Source organism: Homo sapiens, chromosome 3 (assembly GCF_000001405.40).
Source record: "Homo sapiens chromosome 3, GRCh38.p14 Primary Assembly".
Lineage (NCBI taxonomy): Eukaryota > Metazoa > Chordata > Mammalia > Primates > Hominidae > Homo > Homo sapiens.
In genome coordinates, this window is record NC_000003.12 from 187,687,315 (window position 1) to 187,697,368 (window position 10,054).

The following is a 10,054-nucleotide window of genomic DNA, read 5'->3' on the forward strand; positions in this document are numbered from 1 at the left end:
AGTAAAGCTTCTGTTAAAACTCAAAGAAGGTTGGGCACGGTGGCTCACATCTGTAATCCCAGCACTTTGGGAGGCTGAGGTGGGTGGATCACAAGGTCAGGAGGTCGAGACCAGCTTACCCAACATGGTGAAAACCCATCTCTACTAAGAATACAAAAATTAGCCAGGCATGGTGGTGCATGCCTGTATCCCAACTACTCGGAAGGCTGAGGCAGAAGAATTGCTTGAACCCAGGAGGTGGAGGTTGCAGTGAGCCAAGATTGTGCCACTACACTCCAGCCTGGGTGACTGAGCAAGATGCTCTCTTGGAAAAAAAAATCAAAGAAACAGGATTTAGAGAGCTTCTGGATAGCTGAACATGTGGAGGTTCCTGGAGAGTGGTGTGTCTAAAGAGGGTATGGGAGCTCTGCCACCCTCCTCCATGCCTCAACCTATGCATCTCTTCATCTGTATCCTTGTAATATCCTTTGTAAGAACCTGGTAAATATAAGTGTTTCCCTGAGTTCAGTGAGCCACTCTAGCAAATTAATCAAACGCTAGGAGGGAGTCATAGAAACTCCCTTTTATAGCCAGTCACCAAAGTTGAAGGCCACAACCCGTGCTTGTAACTGACATCTGAAGTGGGGGACAGTCTTGTGGGGTTGAGCCCACAACCTGTGGGGTCTGAAGCTATCTCCTCCCAGCAGAAAGTGTCAGAATTGAACTGAGCAAGAGGACACCCAGCTGGTGCCCACTAGAGAATCAGCTGCAGATCTGCTGGAGACTTGATTGACTATTGGTGGGGAGAAATCCCCACACATTTTAGTGACCAGAAGTTGTTGTACTCAGAGGAGAAAATAGATTGTTTCCCCTTTATCATCAGACAGGATCTGGAGATGAAGACAGGTGGAAGGACAGCCGATGGGGGCAAATCTCTCTCTGCCTCTAGAACTGCACCAGGTCCCCACACTCAGAGCATCTGGTCACTGCGCTGACTTCCAGATTAAATTCTCATGTAATATAAAGACGAAGCTTCCAAAGTCAGTTCCTAATGAGAGTCTTCATGCCAGTCAGTGAGAGAAGCAGTATCCCCACAACTTGTTCTGCAGCAGAACATGAAAAGAAAATGCTTTGCCATGTTCCTATAGTCATGGAGAGAGGCTGCATCTGGGTGAAGCCCCCTCTCGACCACCCCCTTGGCCAGCCCTCTCAAAATTTGGGCAAAATTGGCATTTTCCTTCTCCCTTTGTCTGAGACCAAATAATTTGAAGACATACCACACAATCTCTAAAAGAACTCCCCCAGTTCCACATCCCCATAAAAATCAGCAGAGAAACTTCATTAAGCATATGAAAAATTATAGTTCAAATCCATAAAAACAATCTAAAGAATCAGAGGAAATGTCTCTTTCTCCTATGGACAAAGTTACTGTAAGAAACAATAAAACAAGAAAAAAACCTTACAAACTCTCCAGTTTATATTCTTCACAAGCTATGTGAAGCTATTGCACATGTTTGTGTGTGTGTGTGTGTGTGTGTGTGTATCATTACATCAGGCAATGTGGAAAAAAAAAGAACATTAGGTTGATACCAGAATTTTACTCCGCCACAATAAATTCCAGAGACGTTGAAATAGTGCCTTCTAAGTTTTGAGAGGAAAAGAAGTTAAAAGTGTGATAAAAGAATGTAATGGCTGGCCGTGCCGTTTTTTACAGGTAAGAGCTACAGAAAGCCATTCCTAGAGAAGCATACCACCTATGTACCCTCTCTGAAAATGTTACTCACCAAAGTACTTTAAGTAAAATGAAGAAAATAAGCAAAATAAAGAACTCAAAAGTAAAGTGGACTGGTATAAAAATGATGAGGACAAACCTGTAAAGTTTAAAGGTTCATTACTAAATTTCTTATCAATATTATGGAATATAATGCATTTGTCTAATATAATTTGTGAAAGAGAATGTATAAGCTGTATTCTATGAATTTAATTATAAAATAGTAGATTATTTTGACAAAATTGGAAATCCAGGTTGGCAGAGAAGAAAGTATGTTAAATTCCTTCCCATTTACCAAAAGAATTCATAGCTTATGTAAATATTTGAAATAAACATAAGAATATAGGTTAACATATACATTTGTTTTACAACTTTCTATAGGAAAATTATTTTTTAAAGTCTAACAATTCTGTAAAGTAAATTTTTAAAAGATTAAGAAACAGCAAAACAAAGTATTTTTACACGTAGGATTTTCCTTCTCCTTAATTTCTAGATCAGCCACAAATATATTTTGTTTCATTTTAATCCAAATTTTAAAACATGCTTTTAAAATTTCCAGACACTCTAATTTCATTTTATTTTAGTTTGGTTAATTTTTTTGTTTTGATTTCTCTGTTAAATATATTACAGTCAGAAACATTTTTTCTGCATAATTTTATTTCATTTAGGTTCATTGAGACATCTGAATGCCTCACAGACACTAGAAAAAGAAATATAACATCCCTTTGTCAATGTCCTTAAGCCAAAGACCACCAGGAACATACCCGTCACTGAACACAGCTGAGTTTTTTTGACTCTTTGCTACAAGTGAGGATGCCCACAAGAATCATGAAGCATTTCAGTAACAGCGTATTAAAATATACTGTGGCATTTGAGCATATGTTAGGTGGTTTGGGGAAGGTTCACCTAAGCGGGGCTTTGTTCTGAACTGGTTGCTGTCAAAAAGTGAGGATCACTCTATGATTGGGTATCTTAATGAATCTTCCCTAGAAGGTGAGAAGAAGAGCATGAGGCTAAAGCTGTGATTGGTAAAGAAATAGCCACTCATACTGGCCAAGATGCAGGGTTGTTTAGTCATATCGTGGTTTGGACAGTGTTCACGTTTCTATCTGAATTCAGACGTGACTATATAGGGGGGCCTCAGGCTTGCCTTGATCTGTCGTCATCACAGAGTGGCCTTACATGAGGTTGGTGTTCTGTGGAATTGCTCATGTACAACAGGAGAGACCTGCAGCCTGGCTGTGAGGGCCAGGCCATCCCAGGTGTCAGAGCCTGCTACTCTCTTTCCCATCTTTTATATACACACTCTGATAAGTGAGTACAAACACATATTCATATATAGTCAAAGGTTTTATATACTTTATTTTCTCTTATTAGGAACATTTAACCTTGCTTAATGAATCTACTGTATATAATGTATATGCATATATGTATATCTCTAAAGAGGTAATTCATTTTTATTGTAGAAACAAACAAAAGGAAACAAAAAAGCAAAAGGGAAGTCATCAATACTATAATTTTCTCAATTGAATTCAACATCTGTGAACAGTTGGGACCAGAAACAAATTGGTTAGACTGGTTATTAAATTAGTTAGTTGACTTTATTTTCAGCATTAAATAAGCAAAGCTTTATGTTATTTGACTAAAGTTATCAGTTTTGTGATTTGGAGCCCAGATTACCACTCCCCACAGAGCACTTAAAGAGATAATTTATTTCTGTAACTAAAGATGAGAACTGAAACGATTCTCAGCTATGTGAGTGAGAAACAAAGATGGATGGAAAAAGATCAGAATGGAGGGACTGTTGAATTCTTGCATTAATACATGCATAGTGCCTAGTACAAAATATATGGTCCTTCAAATGTTTGTAGAGGGCACAATGATAGAGTTGTTCAGCACATTATTTTTGGCTTTTAAAGTTCTAAAAATGATGATAAGAGGTCTATCAAAAATTAATGCCCACAGAATGAATTTACTCCTTTTTTTGAGCCAAGAGACCTGTCTTCACCCAACTCCAGCCTACCTTGATGTTTTGCTCTATTTCTAGCCAATGCTTCCAGACTCACAAGCCCCGACTCCATGGCTCTCGCCCTCCATCCTCCTGCCCACCTCTGGTACTCACTTGTTTATTGCTCCTTGAACATAAATAAACTCTGCCTCTAAGTCTTCCTTCTTCTCCACTTGGCCTGGGATGCACTTAGCTCCCTGTCAGACCAGGAATGACCTCCCAACCTACTCCTATTCCTCCTTCAAACTGTAACCTTTTCTGAGAAATCATTTCCTTTTTTTTTTTTTTTTTTTGAGACTGACTCTTCCTCTGTCGCCAGGCTGGACTGCAGTGGCGCAATCTCAGTTAACTGCAACCTCCACATCCTGAGTTCAAGGAATTCTCCTGCCTCAGCCTCCCAAGTAGCTAGGTTTACAGGCGCCCACCACCACACCTGGTTAATTTTTGTATTTTTGTAGAGATGGGGTTTCACCATGTTGGCCAGGATGGTCTCGATCTCCTGACCTCGTGGTCCACCTCAGCCTCCCAAAGTGCTGGGATTACAGGCACCAGCCACCGCGCCCGGCCCTGAGACACCATTTCTAACACCACATCCCCAGGTTATGATCAGGTTCACCCCTTTCCTAGCGCAGCACTGACTAGCACACATTGGATCCCACTCCAACCACTGTAGTCCCTCTAAGTCAGGGACTATGTCTGCTTATCTTTGTGGTCCTGAAACTTAGGACAAGCCAAGAATAAAATAGTCCAGAATAGATATATGTTGAACTATGAATGAAAATTAAGGAAATACAGCTGTATCTTTAGGACATACTCCCTGTCTTGTTTTTCCAAGGTTGGTAATGGGTTCGTCATCCTCATTCCACTGTCTTGTTGTACTGGTGCTCTGATTTGCAGACTACCAGCACAGCATTCTTTTGTGTATTTTACTGTCCTCTTCAGGTACTCTGCAAACGACTGCCAACCAGTAATCAGTGAAAACCATATTTTCTTACTCAACGGTGCAAAATTAGCACAAAGATTCACAAGGGGGTTATTAAGCACTGTAACACCTACAATATAGATATAGTTACATGATATAGACAGAAACAAAAATAAATAAGAAGCCACTCTTGACAGGTCACACAGGCCTCATAAGAGGTGGGGAACAAATATCTATTCCATCTTAAAGCAACAAAGGTATATTATCACTGGGTTAATTTCACACCAAATAACTACAAGAGTTCTCTTCTAAACTTTTTTTTTTTTTTGAGACAGGGTCTGGCTTTGCTGTCTAGGCTGGAGTGTAGTGGTACAATCTCAGCTCATTGCAACCTCCGCCCCTTGGGTTCAAGGGATCCTTCCCACCTCAGCCTCTCAAGTAGCTGGGAATACAGGCACACACTACCATGCCTAGCTAATTTTTGTATTTTTTTGTAGAGACAGGGTTTCACCATGTTGCCCAGGCTGGTCTCGAACTGCTGTGATCAAGTGATCTGCCCAACTTGGCTTCGCCAAGTGCTGGGATTACAGGCATAAGCCACCATGCCAAGCTTCTCCTGGACTTCTTGTCAACTATTGTAGCAAACAATGTTTGCGCATTTCTCAGAAACCTCTGTATCTAGATTGCTAGAAGTCTAACTTCCTTTTCTTGTCTTTGGATATTGGGCTTAAGTCCAGTTGTCATCCAGATATTAGTGGGTAACTCTGCCCTCCAGGCAAGGTGCCGTGGTCCTTGCCTACTGTCTGAGCTACATCTCCATACATGTTCATGTTGCTCAAATAGGTTAATTTAGGTGGGGTGCGGTGGTTCATGCCTGTAATCCCAGCACTTTGGGAGGCCAAGGTGGGCAGATTGCTCGAGCTCAGGAGTTCGAGACCAGCCTGGGCAACGTGGTGAAACCTCGTCTCTACAAAAAATACAAAAAATAGCTGGGTGTGGTGGGGGGTGCCTGTAGTCCCAGCTACTTGGGATGCTGAGGAGGGAGGGTCATTTGAGCCCAGGAGGTGGAGGTTGCAGTGAGCCGAGATTGCACCATTGCACTCTAGCCTGGGTGACAGAGCAAGACCCTGTATCAGAAAAAAGAAAAATAGATTTATTTAATTTTTTATTTCTCAGCAGTCTGGGCTCCTGTATCAAGTTTAAACTAATTAGCTCACTAGCCTTACAAAACTCGACATCTCACAAAACCTCAGTTTCCCCTCTGTAAGTGTGAATAATTATAGTGTGTATGTCATGGGTTTTTATTAAAGGGAAATTAAACATCATAGCTAGCACAGAGCCAACATTTCCTTCCCGTCCAGCTTGGGGGTATGAGGTATTGCAGTGCATGAAATATATACAACATTGTTCTTAGGGGGAGGAAGGATATAATAGGGAACATTGCATCTAACAAGACAAGAATTTGGTCAGTGAGCAATTCTGATTAAACAGTTACTCTAGGCCAGGTTCTGGGGATAGAAAGATTAAAAAAAAAAAAAAAAAACCTGACAGTGATGGGAAGATACACCTGCAAACAAGTAATGACAACACAGCATGCCAAGGGCAGTAGCAGAGGTAGCCTCAGGTGGTGAAATCCCAACACTGCCTGGGGCTGTGAAGGAAGGCTCACAGGGAAGCTAATGCTCAAACCAAGCAAGAGTGAAGGAAAAATGTTTGGAAACCAGTGGGGTAAGATGTTCCAGGGAAAGGGAACAGCAGAATTTGAAGGGCACTGGCTTAACTGCAGTAGCAGGATGGCACAGTGGTTGAGAACTCATGTTTTGGGGTCACGGCAACCCTGGATTTCAATATTAGCACCGAGACTTACTCACTAGGTCACCATGAGCCAGTTTCTTACCTTCTCTAAGCCTCAGCCGTAAAATAGAGGTAAAATAGTACCTGCCTCAAAGGGTTGTTTTCAGAATTCAGTGAGGTAATGCACATAAAAGTGCTTAGTACAGCACCTCATGCACAGTAAATAATTGCAATAGCAAATGTTTATGGGGCTCCTTCTCAACGAATGTTATTTTTTATTATTATCTGGAAATGAAGTGTGCCAGGCTAATGAGACTAAGTTTTGTCCAATGGCAGGAGGGAGCTCTGGAAGAGTCCAAGCACAGGACTGTGTGAATCATAGCTGATAATTAGAAAATCACCCTAGGATGGTGGCAGATTGGAAAGTGGATTGTAAGGGAAGAGGTTATAGGCATAAAGATTATTGAGGAGGCTACTAAGGCAAGAGACACTAAATGACTGGGTTTGGGCAGCAGTAGAGGGAAGGAAAGAAAGGAGAGCAACCCCAGAGGTACTTGGGAAGAACAATCAACAGGACATGGGACATGGTGACCAACTATTGTGGGGTGGGGTAGGGCCATGAAAGAGGATCAGGGGACAGTATCCAGATTTCTGAGAAGTAAGAGAAATGGGTTCGGATGGCAAAGGGACAAGCCCAGCTTTAGTCATGCTGCCTTTGATGGGAGCACACCGTGAACAGGTCAATTGGTCTGTGGGCCTGGAGCTCCATGGAAATGCTTAGAGAAGCCATGAAGACCAGGAATTCCTATGGGGTGAACATGATGGAAATTATGAGTGAGTATGTTACTGAGGAAACATGAGCAGAGTGAGAGGAGAATCCCAGGATGGGTGAGGGAAAAGCTCCCACAAAGAATATTACAGTGGAGAGAAAAATGAAAGAGCAGATGGAGGAGCAAGTACTGACATAGAATCTTCAAGGAGGGAGTATAAAATGCAGTGGACACATCAAGTAAGATGACTACAGACAAGTGGCCAATGGTTTGTCTCTATCTTAGAATGCCTGTGGTCATTCAGGTGTCTATCATTAGATTGTCTGAGGTCACCCAGGTGTCCCTATCATTAGAATGCCCAGTGTCAGCCAGGAGTGTCTCCCATTAGAATGCCTGTGGTAGGCCATGAGTCTCTATTTTTAGAATTCATGAGGTCGCCCTGTTGCTTCTATCATTAGAATTCCGGGGATTGCGCAGATGTCTCTATCATTAGAATGCCTGGGGTCAACCAGGAGTCTCTTTGACCACAGACAAGTGGCCAATGGTTTGGCAATGGAGTATTTAGTGACTGTTTCAGAAACATGAAAATGAGATTTCCATGGGTTCAGGAGTAAATAAAGAGATGGAGATAAATGTAATCTACTCCTTTGAGAAACTTGATTTTGAAAGAATTTTCTTTTTAATGAAATGGCAATAGTCCAAGGGGAATGTGGAATCACAGCAGTGTCATTCTAGTTAACTATAGAAAAGACACAGCTGTACTTACATACTGAGAAAATGAGCTGGTGGAGAAGGAGAAGTAGAATATGTTTATCTTTCATTTTCCCAGACCCCGTTTCTTTTCATCTGTTCTAGCCCCCTTGTCCTCACTTCCGTTTTCAGTGGCTCATCATCCCCCAACTCACAGTCCTCAACTCAGATGCCCCAGCCTTGCTGACCCTCTGAGGCATGACCTCTCCCTTGACACAATCTTGGCTGTTTAGCCCTACCCCCAGGAACCACAACTTCAGTAACAGATGCTGCTGACGCCACTTCATCCCAGTCCCGTCCCTTCGTGTTCCTTAAGATTCCCAGGGTTGGCCAAGTTCTCTGGAGATCACTTGACTCCTGGGCTCCTTGACATCCATTTTCCCAGAAACACCATGCATCCACAGCTAGGCAATGGCCCCGAGGGTCACACACCCTGCACCAGCCCTGCTGAGCACCATCTGCAGCTGATGAAAGTGAATCCAGAACCTCATGTTCCTGCTAATTTACAACCACTCCAGCCTGATGCTCTTTTTGTACTCTTTTGCTGAACCCAACCAAATAAAGGCAGAGGTTCTTCCAGATTGCCTAGTTCTTTGCTCTTGCAGGTCCACAGAGAAATCTGACAAGCCACCAGGATTTCTTTGCCAGTGCTGAGTAAAGCCAGCCTGTGGAGACAGACAGCAGGTGGGGCACAGTGCTCAAAGCTGCCCCTCTCTGAGAACACATCTAACCAAACACTCCATCCCTGAACCTCACCTTCAGCTCTCAGGCCCCACGTGGGGGCTCTGAAGGTGGGCTATAGAAAGATGTGAATGTCGGGACAATTAAGGGTGTGAATAGGAGAGTTTCTGTTTCCAATTCCAGACAGTGATCAACACAGTGTCATCTGAACCCGGCTCATGAGTCAAACTGCCCGCCTCACAGCTATGCCTGAGGGAATGGGAACAGCAAATGCATTTACCCTGAAGGGGTGGTCCCATGGACTAGCCAGAGGGGAAGGTGCTGGGGGACAGGTGCTGTCTGCCTCCACTTGCTCACACCTCCCCTTGGGCATGACCTCCCCTGAGTGGAGACACACAGCCCTGCTCTCACCTGGAAGATCCACATCTGCAGATCTGCCTCATCTGCCCCTTCTCTCACCATCGCCAGGAACTAGGATGGCTATCAAATTTGCCATAATGTATTTTCATACATAATGAAAGAGGAGCATCTCCCTGCATCATGGGTAGCTAGTGTGTCCTACCACATCTCTGCTGAGCACAGGAATGTATAAACGCACTTTAAAACATGTGTATGGGTTATGGGTGGTGGCTCACGTCTGTAATCCCAGCACTTTGGGAGGCCAAGGCGGGTGAATTGCTTGAGGTCAGGAGTTCAAGACCAGCCTGGCCAACAGGGTGAAACCCTGTTTCTACTAAAAACACAAAAAATTAGCCAGGCATGGTGGCGCACACCTGTAGTCCCAGCTACTCTGGAGACTGAGGCAGGAGAATCACTTGAACCCAGGAGGTGGAGGTTGCAGTGAGTCGAGATCTTGCCACTGCACCAAAAAAAAAAAAAAAAATGTGTGTATGATCCACCCCTTGTGAGGCTGAGGTGAGCGATCACTTGAGCCTGAGAGTTCAAAGCTGCAGTGAACTGTGATGCCGCTACTGAACTCCAGCCTGAGCAACAGAACGAGACCATGTCTTAAAAAAAAAAAAAAAAAAAAGACACAACTGTGGCATTTAAGGTCTATGAACCCTACAAAGGGGCTGTAAGCAACTGGCAATTGGCACCCCATCCCTATGGTCTACTTTCTTTCCCAGACCCAGTTGACCAGACCCACTTTCTTCCCCCACCCCCGCCGCTAAGACAGAGTCTTGCTCTGTCACCCAGGCTGGAGTGCAGTGGCACAATCTTGGCTCACCACAATCTCCGCCTCCCAGGTTCAAGCAATTCTCCTGCCTCAGTCTCCCAGGTAGCTGGGACTACAGGTGTGCACCACCACGCACAGCTAATTTCTCTATTTTTAGTAGAGATGGTGTTTCACCATGATGGCCATCATGCCCAGCTAATTT